Here is a 20,212-nt window from a genome sequence, read left to right as displayed (position 1 = left end):
CTTATAAAAAATAATAATTTGGTATTGAAAGAGGGTGAGAGGTTTTACTGTTTATCAAAAGAAGAAAAGTGTTAAACATATTGATAAGGCTGCAAAAAAATATTGAGGAACAAGACTTTCGGGAACAGGGTCTTCTTCCTAAAACAACGAATACAGTATATTATACTCACTGTCCAGATTCATGGCACTATTTTATTCATTTTTAACTATATGTGAGCTTTACCATTTCAGCGTCTATTTTTATGTTTTTGACCTCTCGCTTATCTATTGCTGTTACTGTGTGTCAAAATCCTACCCTCAATTTTTAGCATGATTTATATGGAAGAACACAATATTCTTTATGATTATAGGGATAAATATTTTAAAAAACAAAATAAAACTGGGTAGCTTTAAGAAAGAGCATGGGCTCCTATTTTCACAGCAACATTAACCATACGGGCAGAACTTCCCCAGGAAGCCTCTAGGTGGCAGCACAACCGCACCACTCCTGGAGTCTAATTACTACTTTCCTGTGGCTCAGTAGGAAAAATTCTTGACTATTTCCATTACATCTTAAACAGTTACCATGATTTGCCTTAAAACTAGTCTCTTATGAAACAAACCTGATGAGGCAAGTTCTATATTCCCTTTTCTTGATTTTCCACCATCATTCTTGTCCTCTTGACTATTCGGTTCCGTTTTCTCAGTGGTTGCCTGAAAAAGAGATTTTTTTCCCCCTTGAATAAATGATTCCTTTAAAAGTTCTAAAAATTATTTTTTAAGCAGTAATTTTTAGGTCAACAAAGTGGTTTGGCCATATGAATTCCCTCTTCTACTTCCCAGGCAGCTTCATGGCGAGAGCCTGGATTGGTTGGAAGGAGACATTCTATGGAGAACAGGACACCCATGCGGTTCACCATCTCACCAAACCTCCTATGACTGCCTTGGACGCACATCCCACATTTTCTTTTCTTTCACCACCAAAAGCTCAAAATCATGGCTATCACCTACTTGTTCTTGAAAGCCTTTCAAGCTGGCTTAGGGTCATAACACCAGTGAAGTCTTTTTGTGGTTCTTTAAAGGTTACAATTAACTTCTCAGTGGCCTGTCTTGGCATAGTTGCCTGTGGCCCTTACCATTGTGGATTTTAGCCTGCAGTTCTCATCCTTCCTGGGCTCCCAGTGAATCTCTATTACTGGAGTTCTAATTCATTCTCTCCTTTTCCCTCTCCTCCCCACTTTCAGACTACTCTTTTCTCACTGGTTCTTACTCCTTTTCATCAAAATATGGGTCATTCTGAAAGATTTCAACTGGACCCTGTTTTCCTCCACTTGTGCTGAATTACCCTCAAATATATCAATTATTCCCATGGATTCACCATTACATTCTCCGTGTATAACTCGTATTTTCATCTCCAGCTGTGAGAGTCCATCAGAGCTTCGGTTTCACCTCTAGGGTCAATGGCCTTCTCCTCCAAATTTGACAATTTCTGTTTATGGCAGCAGTTCTTCCCATCACATAAACTTTCAAGTGATCTTTGACTCATACCTCATGAATATTCATCATTTGCCAAGTCCTTCTAAGTTTCTAACATACTAGTTTTCATATCAATCATTTCCTTTCTGTTTCTATGGCTGGGACTCCAGGTTTGCCTTTCTTCCTTGTTCTCCACTAAGAAGTCTCTGTGATTTGAACCTCACTGTCCAATCCACTTGGTACATCACTGTCATGTTCATCTCCATGGCACCTCCAGTAATTACTCTAATGCTTGTGTTCCTCTCTCTCAGTAGTACTTCAATTGTGTCAGTTTTATGCTTGATGGAATTTACAATAGTAAAAAAAATTGAAACAACTTAAATATCCAATAATTGGGGAATGATTGAATGAATTACTGCATGTCCATAAAGGCAATATAATCATGAAAAAATAAGATGTTGAATAATAGTTAATGATACGTGAAAATACTTACTAATGATAGGAAATGTAAACTGTATACATAGTTTGATGTTTACATGTATATGATTATATACATGCCTATACATAAACATATAGAAAAAAAGATAGTAAGAAAATACAAAAATGTTAATTGTGATTATTTTTAATGTGCTTAAGTTTTGGGTGACTTTTCCTTCTCTTTACATACATTTTATATATTCCAAAATGTTCTATAATGACTATGTATTACTTCTGTAATTGGAAAACAAAATCAATGTAATTTTACATTGTCTTTCACTGGGAGCCAATTGACTCTAGAATGAAGTCCAAAATTATCCTGCTATTACAATATTTACTTAGTAAAAATAAATAAAATGTTAAATTAAATACTAGCTAGATTATATTTTGATAATTAAAGAGAGCAAGTTAATGACTATTGCATTTTTTGGTAGAAGTTTCTTGTAAAAAGCTAAAGTTAAATTTTAAAGTGTGTATGAAATATTGCATAAATTTTAAAAGGTTTTAAGATAAAGGCTAAAGTTGGTTTCAGAAAAGGCATTATTAACTCATAAAATATCCCCATGGGTTCTCGAGAACTATGAATTTATTCGTCTCTCATAAGTATATATATTTTATCCATAAATCAAATTTTGCCTCTCAAAATGAAAGGTATTTAAAGTTAATGCATTGGTGGAAACCATCACTGAATTCTTTAAAAACAAAGAAATTTTAAACAACAAAACTTTCAAGTTTCTAAAAGGTTTTACAATAGCATCTAGTGGCAAAAATGTGATTTTTCTTTGGAGGATGGAGTAGTTTTGAAATCCTCATAATTAGATGGGCATTTTCTAATGACAGATAGTCATGTATCAATTCTGGAAGAACATAATATTAAGTTAAAACACACTTTTAAAACCCTAGGCAGGAAATATGCATCACCTTGGATTTTGTAATATTTTAATATATCAATAAGTCTGACTTGAATCCCTGCAAGAGACTTAAATGAGTGAGAATAGTTAACTGGTCTGTTTTGTTATATTTAGGTTATGGTACATGTGTGTGTTTACATTGTTTGCTATATGAACCTCCAACATGGTAGTAGGATTTGAAGATCAACCAGTTTAGCATTGCAAAAGAATAAGTTGGGTTTTATAATTCAAAGTGCTGTCTTGCACATGTAGAAATATTAATACATGATGGTATTTTTGTTTTATGACATCTATATAGAAAATACTGGCAGAAATACTGATTTTTAGCTTCCCCTTCCCCACAAATGGATTACATTATAGAAAACTGAGACTGGGAAACAAATTTGCAGTTAAATATTGATGAATGAGCCTCTTGAGAACACTGGTGTTTACAAATACTATAAACAAAATAAATAACTACACAACAGGGCCAAAGCCTCACCAGACCAAAAATGAACAAAGAAATGAACATATTTTATTAAATCTAAAATGCCATCAATTTTAAGTTGTATTACTTTAGGTACTACTAAGAAAGAAAACACGCCATCTGTTAAATATGATGCACTTTTGATTATAAGACAGATCCTGATTTAGAGATGTTAAAATGTGAAAAGTGTGCCACTTAGAATCAATGAAATAAGATAGTTCATGAAGCCCTTTAGACCTAAAGACCTAATGTGTGATGCAAAGGGGATGGGGTGCTCAAGCACTAACTACTTCACTAAGGCTTATTGTACCAGCATACCACATTCCAGCAACGTTTTACCACTTATGTATGCTGGAGAACTTCTGCTTTCAAGAATTCTCACATTTCTCAAGACATTTCTCTATGGCTCAGCACTCAAATACTAAACTCCAGATAACTTACCTTAAAAGGTGCTTTAAAGGTTACATCCTGACATTTGATACGGTAACTTGATAGTAGCAACAGCAGAAACTGCAATCAATATTTACTGCACTTGCCACGTGTCAGTGCTGTTGGGCCTTTCATAAGAATCGTCTCACATAATTCTCAGAGCAAGCTTAGGAGGTAGGTACCAACATGATTCCCTTCATACAAGTGAAGAAACTGAGGCCCGGGAGGTTAAGCGACTTACCGAGGGTCATACTGCTAGAAGGCAGGGGAGGTGGGAACCCTGCCTGTGCTGGTGACCTCAATGTCCCACCACCTGGGCTTGGAGTCACACCAATTCCAAGCTGTCCTCCAGTATTGAGAGGTTTTGATACATGAGAGGCAATCTATCACCTAAGAGTCTTGTTTATTGCTGAAGTGATTCAAACTGCTTTTTCCATTCCCTTTCTTTCCTCTACCTCCCACTCATTTATTCTGCAAAAGATTAGAACTCTCCTGGAATCTCTCCCCTTCCTAGGGCTCCTGGGGACCCAACTGCCCCCAGCCATCAGCTCATCTCGGGGATTTCTGTTCAGTCCACGTTCTGAGGAATTAGCGGCCAGATACATGCGTAATCCTTGTTAAGTAAATAAATATTATGCACTTATTTATGGAATGTATACTCTCAGGCTTAGTTTAAATGTATGCTAGTCATCAAAATCTGGCTACTGCTAGCAAAATATTCAGATAAAGTAAGAGAAAAAGCAAGCAATTTGAATAACAGGAACCCACTTAAAAATACTTTATACACACTGAGAAAAAGAAGGATATACATTTTCTAAAAATGTTAGCATTAATTTCAGAGTGGCTGAGTAATAGGTAGTCGATGTTTTCTCCAGTTTTCTGTATTCTGCAATGTATATAGGCTATCTGTAATCAAGGGAAATCCCCAAAGCCAGGTTAATTAACTTATGTCTGGATACTCCATCCTGGAGGCTTATTACTTTTGTACTCACATCATTACTTCGAAGGAAATGAGTTCAAAGTTGGCAGGGATACACTCAGCGGTTTGCTTCAAACAAACCCGCCTTGATGGAAAAATGTGTTTTCTGACCTGTATTTTTCTTTGGTTACAGCTCAACAGAGGAGAGCCCTTCCCTTCTCCAACTGGTAACACTTTCTCAAGAATGAAAACAAGTAAATAAAAACAGATCCCTGGACGTGAATGAATGAGAGCACAGAAAGGTTGCATGGGACTCAGCCAGGAGCTGGCTTCCCCTTAACTGAGAATGCGATCCAAACTGCCCGGGTGCCAGACTCAGCCCTGGGGCCTCAGGTGGGAGGTGGCAGTTTCCTGGCTTGAGAGAGACATGGTCTAGCCCAAAGCCTACCTGGCATCTGGCTGCTCATTTTAACTAGAATCTTGGTGGTGGACTGGCCCAGAGAACGACATTGGAAGATGTACTAGACATGTGAAGCAGGAGGGCAAGCACCCTCCTGAGACTGAGGGTCTGGGTGCTGGGCCTGTTTCTCACATGGAGTTGCTGGTGAGCTCGGACTGATCATTTAACCTCTATGGGTTGGAACAAGTGATGTCCAACGTCCTTTCCCGAGCAACGGTTCTGTGACTCTGAGCGATTTCCTGGCTCTCGTCTTGGACAACTTATCTGGACACAAGCCTGGAAAATCAGTCTATTTATGCTCTGGCACTGCGGTGCCAGACCCAGGTGCCACATATGCTGTGCATGGGTTTCTCTTTTCACTTTTATACCTCCAAATATCTACTGCCACTGGAAGACAGGGAATCTATATGGAGAATCAGGCTCTCCATGTCTTAAACTTTTTTTTGTACTAAACTTTTCAAATTAAAAAAAAATGAGGTTTTGACCCAGGTAACTGGATAGATAGGCCAGGTTAATTTTTTATTTTCCCTGATGTATGCTTTCTCGAAATCTGTAAATGCATCTTTATCTTTATCTAAATATCTTTAATGACTTTTAAAAATCATTAAATCTAGCAATCTTACAACTACTTCTAGATGGAGAAAACCAGTTTCTCAAGAAATGTTTATTGACATTTGCCATCTAAAAGGAATTTGCAGTTGGTCTCAGTTATAAGAAAAACGGCACCTACTCAAATGCCTTCACCCTGCTCTCACTGCAAAATGCAATGTTTCAAGAAAGATCCGATTGTCTGTTTTCCTGGATCAGAAAACATAAGTACTGAATTTTCAAGAGGAAGACCTAGAGCTTTTTCAAAATGGGAAAAACAGACCTACCTTGTGACTCAGTTTGAGAAAAGCAGATGAAGTAGTTTAGATACCCAATAGGTGAGTTTGGCCCTTGCTCAATGAGGGAAAATTGCCACGAACCTGATGGGATGGTGCTGACTGGGAGGCAGAGCATGGGCTACGTCACTTGAGATGAGCTGGTGAGAGAGATCTGATGAACAGGCATGGAAAGGAGTGACACAGGGGTCGATGGGTGGGAGTCTTAGGAGTTTAGGTGGCAGGAGGGGGCCAGAACTGGAAAGGAGGGAACAAAAGGAGAGGCAAAAAGAGCTGCAGGAAGGGCCAGGCATGGTGGCTCATGCCTATAATCCCAGCACTTAGGGAGGAAGAGGTGAGAGTATCCCTTGAGCCCCGGAGAATTGCTAGAGACCTGCTTGGGTGATATAGTGAGACCCCATTCTCTACAAAAGGTGGGGGGAAAGACGAAAAAAAAAAGAGCTGCAGGAAGAATCATGTAAGTGTCTGCAAGGACAACTGTCTTCTAGAAAAAGCTGTCCACATCTGTATGTTTTTTAGAGAATTACAATTGGAACAACAAGTTGAGTTAGAAGATTAAAAGCAATTCATCTCATTTGTATGAAATTCACGTCTGTTCAAGATGCTAATTTTGACCAACTTACTTTAATCCAAAAAACTTCATACTGATTGCCTTTTTGGGCCTCTGAAAAATGTATTAAATATTATAACTTCCTTACTCCCACTTGTTGCATGACAATATTAAAGATAGCTGAGTGGCACCTGTGGTCTCTGAGTCACCCTGACAGTATGCTAAGTGCTCTACAGACATGAATTCTCACAATAACCATCTGATGTCTATGCTATTATTATACTTCTTTTTAAATATAAATTGAGGCTTAGACAGTTTGACGTTCAGGTGGAGTCTGACCTTTGATATAGTGTATGAAGTATTTTTTGGTTATTTTCGAAAAGGGTCATTTTGGTGCCATTGAGGAAAGAAGAGCTTCAGATACAAATATAACTGACAGTGAATCAAGACAACACTGGAATAGCTTTGGGGGAGACATACATAAAAATATCTTTCTGTAGGCCACTAAACATAGGATATATTAGCCCTCAGATTAGAAGACCTTCTAAATTCTTTTACAGTCCTATATTCTAGGAGTCTGCTTGTGTGCTATAACATGATTTTCTTACAGAAGCCAGTATTTTTAAATGAAAAAAAAGTGTGAGGTTTCCACTGGGCCTTTAACAGAGATGCTGAAATGAACAAAACCCCTGAAATATCTCAGGGATAATTGGGGGCAAAGGGATTGGGTGGCCACAGGAGGACCTGATCCCTCTGCCTAGAATATACAGCACCCTCATCACCTCTTATCCTTCTTGGGGTCCTCTGGTGGGCTCCTCACCATTGTCCATGCCTTTGATTCTGCCCTTTCTGGTGTGTAGAATAGCCCCTCCTCCACTTCAACACAAATCCCACACTTACTGTCAAGTTTCAAAATCCACATCCCACACAAAACCTTCCCAGACTAAACTCAGCCTATGAAGATCTTGCCTGTTCTTTGCAATCGTATATTCCTCTGGTTTTCTTACTCCACCATCTAGTACAGACGTTCCATGACTTACAAGGTTACATTCTGATAAACCCATTGTAAATTGAAAACATCGTTAAGTCAAAGATGTACTGAATACACCCAACTTACCAAACATCATAGTTTAGCCTAACCTACCTTAAACATGCTCAGAACGCTTACATTCGCGGTTGGGCAAAATCATCTGGAGATTCAGTGCACTATAGAGTATCGGTTGTTTACCCTCGTGATCTCGTGGCTGACTGGGAGCTGCGGCTCACTCACAACCATGCCCAGCATCATGAGAGTGTCCTACTGCATATTACTAGCCCAGGAAAAGATCAAAATTCAAAATTCGAAGCACAGTTGCTATTTAACATATATTGCCTTTGCACAATCATAGGATTGAAAAATGGTAAGGTGAACCATCCTAAGTCATGAGTCCCTCTGTATTTAATTCTACGTTGTTCTATATACTTTTCTAGTGGCTTTATGAACATTTTTTTCCTACCAAGTTTAGAAGTTTATTCTTCTATTTCAAAAAACAGGTAATAGGGTAGGTCCTTAATTCATATTTACCAATTAACACGTGCCCATCTGCAAGGTAACTGCTATCACAATCTTATTACCATAAAGGTGATTCAACTGAAGATGACTGGGAATTATCTGGCATGAGGAGGTACAGACAAAGCATTTTTTAAAATTCCTAACTTAATTTAGGACCTAGTTCTAAAGTAAGAGAGTGACAGTCCCAAGAGTTTCAAATGAGAAAGATGAGGTAGAAGGAAACCAAAGAGATGATATGATGTCATCCATAGTGCCCGTCCCGGGCCCAGATGCTGACGCTCCACACGCAATCCCTTCCCCCAGCAGGTCTCGGGCCGCCCTTCTCTGTTGTTCTCCCTCCATTCCTGAATTCATGCTCCTGCCTACTGCTGCTGCTGTGCCCTTTGAACAGTTCTAGCTCACCCTAAAGGAATTGTGACATTTTAGTGGTGGGTGAAGCTACTCCTCTGTAGAGAGTGTATCTGTTGGGAATGCAGTTTTTGGAAGAAAGACACTATTTAAAAAGAAGAACACTAATCTTTTGACAGCCCCACAGAATCAGGCAAGTGAATTAGAAACAGAAAATGAAGTCCAAGCTGGTGTCAGTCTCTGGGAGGCCCTGAAGTGCAGCCTCCTGTTCTAAGCTGGTCACCATATTTTGCCATGACCAATTAATTCCTTTTTTTTTTTTTTTAACAGGAGTATACCGGCTGTAACACAGTCAAGAAATGCTTTGCTTGGAATCATGCACAAAGAAGTAAAATGGGGAGTAGGTTTACTGGAGAAGTGATTCTTTTAAAATGACTCTTGGGATAACACACTCTGAATGGAAAACTTGTGGTATCCTAAGTTGCATGTGAGTATGATGAGTATTTGAGTAATGAGCCACAGTCCTATGTAGTACAGCTAACAACTTAGCTTATAGTCTGACAGATATATACAGAGATTTTCCCACACAGAAAGTAATGCAATACCCCCTGCCATAGTTGATTCAAAAGCCTAAAGTACTATAGACAGGGTCCATAAATACTACTACCTGTTCAGAAACATTAGGGTTCACTGACCTAGAAATTACTCTGAACTAGGCAATTTCTCCAAGGAAGAAATACACAAAAGGAAAAGACTCCCAGGCTTTTCTGAGTTTAGACCTGCATCCTTAGGCAACCAGGATCAGGCTGGTTTCTAGGAAGAAAGTCCTGAAGGCCATCCTTCTCCATGTGATCATGTATAAACTTTTGAAATAGCATAGTTTCTTTCAGATCGTGTAATTTTGCTTCTCTTAAAACAAGTTACTTTGGGGGATATGTAATCAATGTGAAATCTTTTTAATGAAGGGAATTTAGAAAACGATCATCATGAAAAATGGCAAAAGAGAAATAAGAACAGAATTATTAATTGTCCCTGAAAAGCAATGCCACCCCTATGTCTAATTAATTTGGGGTCTTCTAGTTTAATTTTAACAGCATAAGTTAATGTTTACTCTATCAGTTAAGTTCTCACACTGCTAGCAGAACTCAATATTCTGTCTCGTGATCATCTGCAAGAAATCTCTAGCAGAGGTAAGACGTATGCAAATGACAAGTAAAATGGAAGTCCAGGAAGTCCAAGTTCAGGAGAGACTCCGCAGTGGCCTGGATCACAAAACTCTGCTCCTAGAGACTAGGAAACGTGTTACCATGGTGAGAAAATGATTTTGGTCTACTCCCATTTGAATCTCTTTCACAGAGCACTTGGGTACTGCGTGGAAGAATTATATCTTCTCAACTCCTCTGAAAAAAAAAATAATTTTAGTCTTCAAAAGACTAATCATAAAGGAAAAAAATAATGATATCCAGCCTTCTAGGTGGGTTTTAGCTAGCTGGGTCACACAACGCTCAGCTCCCTTGGTGCCGGAAGAAGTTTCCTTTCACACCAAACCTTTCTAGGTCCTGGGGGAAAATATCTTGATAGTTTTTCCCTTCTTGTAACTATAATATAAACCCAAATGCTATAAATTAGAACAGCAGAAACTCAGCCTCTGGTGAGTACAAATGAGGTTGAACAGAGTCCAGCCCGTACCCCGAAAGCAGGGCTGCATCTGTGTAGTGACAGTTTCGGTTAGATTAGTGAAACCAGCATGAGTCTTTCTGGTGAGAGATGGAAGAAAGTGCAATTTTCCCAATGATGTCTTCTACTCCAAAGAAACAAATATCATGTTATTTTGAGTTCACTTTTCTGCAGTACCTGAATTAGCATACATTTTTTAGCTTTGCCATTCAATAGTACTCTGATGCTTTACATTACTTTCAGCTTTTAAATGAATTTTTGTTTCTTTAACTAATAAGAAAAAGGCCCTTTTATATATACATCGCCGGGGATGGAAAGCTAGATTCTGATAGCACCAGTTATTTTCAAATGGCATTAACAAGTCTAATGAGGTCCTAAATAAACAGGGGGGGAAAAGGTATTTTAAAGATTTACTTATTCTTCTATAACACTGGACACCAATAGTGAGACAAGAAAAAGTAATTTCTGGCTCATAAATTGTAATACCTTCCATTATACCAATGATACAGGTTGAATTGTGTCTCCCAAAATTCATATTATTGAAGTCCTAACCCTTACTACTCAGAAAGTGACCTTTGGAAATAGGGCTGCTGCAGATGTGATTAGTTAAGATGAGGTCACAAGGGAGAAGGGTGGACCTACTCAGTATGACTGGTGTTCTTCTAAAAAGGGGAAATTAGGCTGGGTGTGGTAGCTCATGCCTGTAATCCCAGCACTTTTGGGAGGCTGAGGTGGGTGGATCACTTGAGGTCAGGAGCTCAAGACCAGCCTGGCCAACATGGTGAAACCTGTCTCTACTAAAAATACAAAATTAGCTGGGTGCACTTGTGCATGCCTGTAGTCCCAGTTACTTGGGAGGATGAGGCAGGAGAATTGCTTGAAGCCTGGAGGCAGAGGTTGCAGTGAGCCAAGATCGCACCATTACACTCCAGCCTAGGCAAAAAGAGCGAATTTCCATCTCGAAAAATAAAATAAAATAAAATAAAATAGGGAAATCTGAATACAGACACATCCACAGGGAGAACACCAGTGAAGACAAAGGCAGAGAGGGGGATGACACATCCATAAGCCCAGGAACATCAAGATTGCCAGCAGCCACCAGAGGCTAGGAGAGAGACCTGGAACAGATGCTCTCTCATGACCAATGGAGGGAGCCAACCCTGCCAACACCTTGGTTTTGGACTTCTAGCTACCAGGACTGTGAGACAGTTTCTGTTGTTTAAGCCACTGAGTTTGTGGTACTTACAGCAGCCCTAGCAAACTAATACGCCAACATAGAAAGAAATGGTCATTATCATGACCTACTTATTTTTAAAAACAGATTCTTTCACCATGGAATTATCCCAAAGGGAGGCGGGGAAATGTTTGGTTCTTACTGCGAGCTCTTGGGGAACAGAGTTTGGCTTCTTTATGTTGATCTCGATGCTACCGTTGTCTTGTTTCAGCTCCAGTGGAGACCCGTGCACTCTGGCCACACCTTCAAACATCTGGGATTTGGTTAAGGAGTGGGCAGGTGCCACCGTGGGACACTCTCTTTCCTTCTCCTCCTCTCTATGAACCGTCTCTCCATTCACACTGACTTTCCCGTCTACCTATAAAAGCCAGAATGAACAAAAAACATGCTATATATACCCCAATCAAAGACTGTAACAAAACGACACGTTCAGAATTACCTCAAAAGATCATCATTTAATAACCAGAGTCCAATGAAGGAAGAGGTCTCTTAAATGTTCTGATGGGATCTATGAGTTAGGGCTTCTATAAATGCTATCTTTGAGGGCCTCCTTAAAAGGTAGTTGGCCTGCTTGGGCCACTTCACTATAGATTCCATTTCATGTTCACCTCATTTATGGTCTGCTTTTATTTTAAAGTACAGAAAACCGAAGAATCTTAAGTACAAATACATGCCACATATTGGGGTTCCAATACTGTTTCACTTCAGTTCTGATTGCTATTCCACAACCTTGACTGTTTTTCTGGATAGCATATAAATGAGGCGGAACTTACCACAGATCAGGAATATTTTACAGCTTATCCCATGGTGGTAGCAGGGGAAACAGATACTTTTTTTGAAGCTAAGGCAGAGGGCAAGGGATCTGAGACTATGCTCTGTTACAGTGAATCTCTATTTCTAGTTACTTTTATAACCTCCATTTTTTAAAGAAAAAAAGACCATGCACATTAAAATATTTTTGTTTTGCACTCACATCGAGGGGAGGCAGTTGGAGCAAGAAAGGGAAACCAGAGAGGGCGGTTAGCCTGGCTTACTGAAAGGCATCTGGAAATCTCGGTCTTGAAATTTGAGGCAGAAAGTAGAGTGGTTTTGAGAGGGAGCTGTGCAGTTAGGTGACCTGATTGAAACCTGGCTCTACCATTTAACAGGCATGGAATCTTCAACAGGTTTCCTATTCTCTGTGCTCTGATGCAAAATTTAAAGTAACAGTATCTTCCTCATAGTGCTGTTATGGAGATTTTATGGATTATCAAATGTACAGAATTTAGAACAGTACCTGACACATTTTAAGTGCTTAACTATTAGCCATTATTATCATTAGGCCTCTTATTTATGTATTTATTTATTTTTTGAGACGGGGTCTCACTCTGTCACCCAGGCTGGAGTGGAGTGGTGTAATCTCAGCTCACTGCAGCCTCCACCTTCCTGGTTCAAGCAATTCTCATGCCTCAGCCTCCCAAGTAGATGGGATTACAGGCGTATGCCAACATGGCTGGTTAATTTTTGTATTTTTAGTAGAGACAGGGTTTCATCATGTTGTCCAGACTGGTCTCGAACTCCTGGTCTCAAGTGATCTGCCTGCCTCGGCCTCCCAAAGTGCTGGCATTACAGGTGTGAGCCACCTCGCCCAGCCTCATTAGGCCTTTTAAAATCTTTTAAAAGAAATAATGGAAGGCTGGATATTAGTTATAGTTTATTTACCTTAAGCCACTGGTCTTTTTACTCTATTATTTGTTACCCATAAAAAGAAATTTAAATCACAACTCAGCACACACACACACACATAAATATAACTGAAACAGAAGTTGCCCCAAGCAATTTTGCCTTCATTGTGTGACACACTATGTTTTTTTATTATATTCTATTCTAGTTCTTTTTTTTTTATATTGGCTTCAAACCACTAAACTGATTTTATAACCTAGCAACGGGTGGTAACTTTCAGTTTGAAAAACACTGCCTTAAACTATTTCTCTTGATCTTCCTTTATTCTTAATTCTGTTGTACTGGAAAAACAACGGGGCCTGTATTCCCTGCCCTGCCCTCCAAGAAGACACACACACACACACACACACACACACACACACACACACACCCCTACCCCTTAGCTTCTGTCCTGGCATTATTAGCTGGTAACAACGGTCTGATTTGCATGTTACTTTGACCTTTGACCAAAGTTGCTGTCCATGCACTCAGTAATGGAACTGTAGGCCATCAGTAGAAATACTAGCCAGTGAGGCCTACAATGAGGCAGGGGACCCCCACTAGTGAGTGATGAGGAGTAATCTCCAGCTCTAAGAGGGCCTCTGCTCAAATTCTCTAATAACCCCCTCCATGGAAGTGCTTCCTGAGGCCGCCATACCACCTTGCTCCACTTTGCCGCCATGGTGAAGAACAGAGTTTTCTCAGAGCTGAAGTTCTGCCATAAAATCATTTATGCTAATCCTTCTGTTTAAACGATCACTTTGCACTATTTAGATAAAGGAGGGAAAGTGGACATCTAGAATGTTTGGTCAGATGCCTTGGAAATCCAGTTAAATAAATGTATTCTCTATCCTATTCTGGGCCACCTCAACATAGAATCTTCCTTCAGGAAATACCATAGCCATTCATTATCATAGGCCCTAGGTGAAGGAAAGCTTCTGAAACACTTAGGTGGACCACTGAGCACACATGAGCATGTGTGTGTCTATCTGTGTGTGTGTGAGTCCATATGATTAGTAGCTCATCTTCTCAGGAAAAATTCACTTATTTATTTAAGGAGCACTTGCTGAGTGCCTACTCTGTCCTGGGCACCTGTGCCAGGCTCTCAGGATGAAGCCATGAATGACAGAGACATGGCCCCTGCCCTTATAAGGGGACAAACAGCTCAATGTGATCCAGATGAGACAGTCTGGACATTTTTGTTCTATCAAAGCCTAAGATAGAGATTTTTGAGATACATTCAGAGTTATTTCAGCAAAAGTCAGAAAGTGTGGTTTTGTTCTCTTTGAAATACAGCAAGGAAGCTACGTGGCATCACACTGCTCAATCAGTTACGAAAACTTTTCTATCTAATGGTCACATCTCCAAGTGATGCATTCCACCTCTGTTTATTACAAACTCATTGAGTGCAAGGACAAGGGGAACTGATTTTTCTTTACAAGTCAAAAGAACTTAAGACAAAGGATGAGTGCTTCCTCCTGATATAAGAGAAAGTACTTGAATTTGAGGAAGCGAAAAGATGTTTGGTTTCCACAAGTTCTTCAGTCTGGAACACTATTTTACACACTCATTAGCAAAACAACCCAGTTTCTTTCCACTTGTTTAAAAAACCTGTCTCATTTGAGGACCAAGTATGTCCCATGTTCCCATGTGTTCCTTGTATTTTTATCAATTGTAAAATCTTTTTGGATGCTACAATGTCAAATGGATGCTGAATGCCAATTTCTTCCTAAAAGAGAGGTAGCTGCATATACTTCTATTTGAACCAAAAGCAAATAAAATTTTGTTTTGAGGAGTCTGCCATACCTCCTGATACCTAGAAATACTAGGGTATTACTAAATTAGGGTTTTTACCACTAGTACAGAGAAATCATGCCATTATATCAAACTAGAAAATAGACCTTGCTCATGGAGACGACTCCACTATCAGTCTTATAGGAGTCCATCTGTATTAACAACAGCAATTGAGGGAAACAGCTGTCCCTGAAGCATTTACAAACCAAATCTCCAGAGACCTATGACTTTCACAGCTGTAAATGTCAACACATTTTTCTTTTGTATGGTAAAAAGAATGACATTTTCTTGAGTCATGATGCTTCTTTCCATCCACTCCCTGGAGTTCAGCTTTGGTTCTACTCTTAAGGAACTTGTCCTACCTTAAAGGTCTTCAGAACATCTTGAGAATTTTTGGGCTGGGAGTAAGGCTTGGGTGTCAGCATAGGCACTGCTTTGGGAGTGACAGTTTTGCTTGGAGACCCACTGCCTGCTGACATGCTGGTATCCAGAACACTGGCACGAGCAATGGTGGTTTCAACAGTGGCAGTGAATTTGGGTGGAGGCAGTGACTGTTGCCGCAGGTATTTCATGGGATTGGGGTCATTCAGGAAGGAGGATAAATTTGGCTCTGTTGAATGGCTTCTTTCCAGAATTTTTGGCATCTCCAAGCGTTCGAGAACAGCCTCACTGATGGTGAACCTCTCAATGTACTGTTGAAGGATCCCCTCTGCCTCCTCCTGGGACCGAGCGTTCTTATATGCTTCATGCAGCTCTCTCTCTCTCCGCTCTCTAAAGGACATGGGAGAAGCAATAACAAAGTCAACTAATGAAAATTGCAAAGAAGACCTTGGTAGAAACGAAGGTAGCACTGAAGAGATAGTACAGGGAATATAAAATGTTACTATCAGAACCTTTGTGACAGCCAATAATTTTTAGAAAAAAAAAACACCTAGATAATATTGTACATTAAAAACGACAACAGAAAGAACTCACTTTTCTTGAACAATTTCTCTGTAGGTTTTGATGCTTTTCCTTCGTTCACTTGTCCCATCTTCTCCAGCCAGTAACTTCTCCATTTTTTTCCTTTCTTCCTCTTTCTTGATTAAGTCCTGAGAAACACTTCTTCTACGACTCTTCCAACGAGCCAGGTCCTGGCAGGGAAAGAAAGATATAATATTCTTCTTCAGACTTGTGCATAATTCCATTTCTATTCTTCAGAGTTTAGTCATTTCTACTCTTTAGAGAACTGACTATGGGCCCAGGCACTATAACATCGTGTGCATTCCCACACAATCCAATGTAAGTCTGGTTGGAACTGGAATGCCTCAAAGGCAGAAACATCCAGATATTATCTACAGTATCCATAGCAGGGCTGCACATTTATTTAAATATGGCAGTGTGAAATATGCAATCACATTTCATGTCAGTTGCCAAATTTCAGAGAATTGCCTCACAAGGTAACTGTAAGAAACTTCATTCCTTCCTATTTATAACCTCTGCATTGTGAACAGATTTGCTGACAATAGAATAGTAGGGATTCATTTACAGTTTCCACATGGAAGGCAGTCAAGGCAGAAAAAAAACTGTTTTGGAGTCTTTAGATCTGGTGATTCTATATGTATTAATTCATCTGATCCTTACAACAACCTCACCACAATCCTACAGGTAGTTATAGCATAATGATGAAGAGTGAGGATTCTGGAGGCAGATGGTTGGGGTTGCAGCTGTGGGAAATAATCCCAGCTCTGTCTTTTCCATGCTTTGGAATCTCAGGCATGTTTCTTAGTCTCCCTGTGCCTCCATTTCCTCCTCTCTAAAATGATGATAATAGCACCTATTCTTACAAGCTTGCAGGGTTAAATGTGAAAATAGACGTAAGGTGCCAGGCACATAGTAAGTGCTCAAGATACTTTAGACATAATTGTTACTATATTTTATGAACTTTGGAGAAGTTAACTTTTTAAACTAAAGGTGGAGTCAAGTTTGCAATAGCTACCTCCAGAGTGCTTTGTGAGAATTAAATGAAATAATCCACTCTCCCTCCTCTCTCCCCGCTTTGGCTCTCAGCACACAATCTCAAAGCCCTCATCAGCCTCTTTAGCCTTCCTTCCCTGGTTCTAATCCTGGCTCCCCCACTCGCTAGCTATGTGACGTTCAGCAAGTGACAGCTGTGCTGGGATTCGTCTGTGGAATCGAGGACAATAAGAGTTGCTAGTTCATTGAGTTACTAAGAGGATTAAATGAATGCATGCAAAGTACTTAGAACAATGCCTGGTACTGGTACACATTTGATGTTGGTCATTGTTATCGTTACTACCATCATCATCATGATCAATTTGAAATATATAACCTCAGAAGATAGTGCAGCCTCAATTCTACAACCCATCCCAGTTTCCTGCCTCCCCTCCCCTCTTTTGTGACCAAGCTTCTGGCCAGGGTGTTTGCTGATTACATGTCTGGGCCATCACTCCATACCTTCACGCTGCTACTCACCTTCCTTTGAGTCCCACATTTACCGTGTCACCTTTTGAAACCCTCTAGGGGCTCCCTTTCCCCGCATGGCTTTCAAGTCCACGTCTACCCACCCGGCTGGATTTTCTGCTGCCAGAAGCCTCCCCGCTGCCCGCGCGCCTTGGCCACAACTCACATCTTGCCATTTGTCGTCCTCTTCCCTCAGCTGGTTATTTATCAGCTGCAGCTGCTCCTGGCGGGCCCTGCTGTGCGGCTGCACCGCGGCCTCCTCCTCACACCGCATGTCAAACATGCTGGTGCTCCTGAGTGTGGAGAGAGCGAACACAAGAGGGACCGCGATCAGCGCCCGTCGCGTCTCCGCGCGCCTGGGCGTCCTGCCGCGTGGGGGCGCTACCGGGCTTGGAAAACTGCCCCCTTCCCGGGCTGCGCACAGCGCGTGACTGGCGGTGTGTTCTGGCCCTGGGCGGGCGGTGGGCGTGCTGGCACCCCACCGCCTCCTTTTGCCGCAAACGCCAAAATGTGACCGTCTTTGTCTTCAGTGATGTCACTGAATCGGGTCAATATCATTTTATATGTAGGTGCCAAAATAGGTTTAAAGAAGAGCTAGAAAAATGGTATTTGAAGCCCCAGGCTCCTCTCACTTGGAAATGCATTTAAAAAATAAAATTAAGATAATTAAAAGGTATAACCTGGGTAGAATTTGTGGGGAAAGAGGGCGGTGTTCCATGAAGTAAAACTGTATTACGTTAAATGCTTCTTTGTGTAGAAAGCTGGCTTAAAGGCTTCCTATGTGAATGGAGGCAATTTCTCCATTTCCAAAAAAATATCATTTGGCCTTAAGTTTAAGACACTCACTTTTTCTTATTTTATTTTATTGAATTTTAGATGCATCTGACAACTATGGATGGCTGATGTATATGTTCATTGTAATCATTTCTTTTTATTTCTTGTAAAACTGCTGTAATTGATAGTGCAGTTGATGGCATCTTGGAATCAAGAAAACAAGGCATTTTATAACAAGAGTAAGGAGTAAAACACATAAATTAGGTATATATTTTGTATTCTAATATGCACACAGTCATTTAATTTTTGTCAGGATAACTCTGAATATCTCTTTTAAAAGAAAAATGCAAGGGAAATCAGTCTTTAAAAAACTCTTAGACTGTGCATACATATAATTTATATGTTTTATAGGAGCTTATTAAATGTTGTGCAAGACCATAGGGCCTTTTTTGTGATGCTTACATAAACCTTTGTTACAGCAAAAGCTGAAGCAGCAAGATGAAAACAGAAATAGAAACCAAAGCAAAATCCTCCTCCTTTTATTTTTCTTTCAAAGAAATGACTCACTTTGGGACAAGTGGGCTATGGAGCCCAAAATTCAAGACATAGAGGGCTCTTAAAAGCTCACTGTTAAGTGCTAGCAACAAAATATGGTGACAGTCCATTTTTGAAACCAGCCTAACACAAAGAAAAAAAAAACTACCATGCACTTAGACACCAAAGAATTCCAGACATCATCAATGATGTCCAAAATTGTTACTCCCATGGCCAGACAATGAACAGCAGCAGCATCGCCGAATGCAAAGGGCTCCCTAGCAGGCAGCTGTCTGGAAGATGACCCCCAAAGCAATGGCTGCCCACCTTCCCTTCAATCCACTCAAAAGGAATGTGTATAAATGTGTGAGTGCCTCTCTCTGCTCTCCAGATGTTGGACAATTTAAGTCTAAGAGAACTAAACTGAAAAACTGTACTTGTAACCTGTCTTCCCCAAGAGTATTCTAATAATCTGGCTGCACAGAAGGACTCTTAGCTGAGGTTTCTATTAGCATGGATATGACAAGCCATTGCATAATGCTGCCTCCATGTATTCAGTGGAGAATGTTGATTTCAGCAGCTGTGGCTTCTAGAAAAAATAAGCTGGGCCAGGTGTGGTGGCTCACGCCTGTAATCCCAGCACTCTGGGAGGCCAAGGTGGGCAGATCACTTGAGGTCAGGAATTCAAGACCAGCCTGGCCAACATGGTGAAACCCCTTCTCTACTAAAAATACAAAAAAAAAAAAAGAAAAAAGAAAAAAAATTAGGCATGCTAGCACACGCCTATAGTCCCAGCTACTAGGGAGGTTGAGGCAGGAGGATGGCTTGAACCTGGGAGGCAGAAGTTGCAGTGAGCTGAGATTACATCACTGCACTCCAGCCTGGGTGACAGAGCGAGACTCTATCTCAAAAAAATAAAATAAAATAAAGAATGAAAGAAAAGAAAAAGAAAGAAACTGTAGTCCTCGATAGAGGAGAAGGGCTGTGATTTTTCATCTATTTTAGACTATTGATTAATGGTATCTAAGAAAGATTAAGAAATTTGCAGGATTAGGTAGAAAAGTCTAACCCATGCTTTTAAACTTCATGGATCAAAATTCACTTAAGCAGGCCTTCCAGAAAGACACAAAAATTCGTCCCATTCTTCCTCTCACAGTTTAAAAAAAAAAAATCTTACTTTTAAAATATTCAATCTAGTCAGTTCATCTTTTAAGGTGATTTATAATCTTTGCTAAGATCTTAGAAGACTTAAACCTCTCTGAGCTGGGACCCTCTTACCATCCCACTAAGTAGTTTGTAGATTATGGGAGAGAAAAGAGGTCCCTTCATTCAACTCTGCCATCTATAATATCTACAGGTCAGAATTTTGGTTTAGGCCACTATGGGTGGCCATAGATCCAGGTTTTCTTCTGGGACCCCAAGAAGAAAATGGCAGCCTTCTCCAGGATCTGGGATTTGATTATCTCACCCAATGGGCATGGAGAAAATGAGAGCAGACCTTAAGAATTACCTTTGTCTGTCCTGCGTTCCCATCTCTACTCCCACTGTGAAGCTCTAACTAGCTCAGCCCAAATGTGGCCAGAA

At 40.2% G+C, this 20,212-nt stretch overlaps 1 protein-coding gene across 54 annotated transcripts in view; it reads right to left on the bottom strand.

The window, feature by feature from the left end:
• Positions 1-20,212, bottom strand: part of LIMCH1 (LIM and calponin homology domains 1) — a 340,438-nt gene that overhangs the window by 37,932 nt on the left and 282,294 nt on the right. For all 54 annotated transcript variants that reach the window (NM_001289124.2, XM_011513642.2, XM_011513644.2 and 51 more), the window contains 5 exons: positions 17,487-17,613; positions 15,833-15,990; positions 15,220-15,628; positions 11,505-11,720; positions 603-693 (listed from right to left, as the gene is read on the bottom strand). In NM_001289124.2, coding sequence (NP_001276053.1) covers positions 603-693; positions 11,505-11,720; positions 15,220-15,628; positions 15,833-15,990; positions 17,487-17,613 — 1,001 coding nt within the window. The remainder of the gene's footprint in view (positions 1-602; positions 694-11,504; positions 11,721-15,219; positions 15,629-15,832; positions 15,991-17,486; positions 17,614-20,212) is intronic.

This window comes from Homo sapiens, chromosome 4 (genome assembly GCF_000001405.40).
Source record: "Homo sapiens chromosome 4, GRCh38.p14 Primary Assembly".
Taxonomy (NCBI): Eukaryota; Metazoa; Chordata; class Mammalia; order Primates; family Hominidae; genus Homo; species Homo sapiens.
This window is presented reverse-complemented; position numbering and strand designations above follow the sequence as displayed.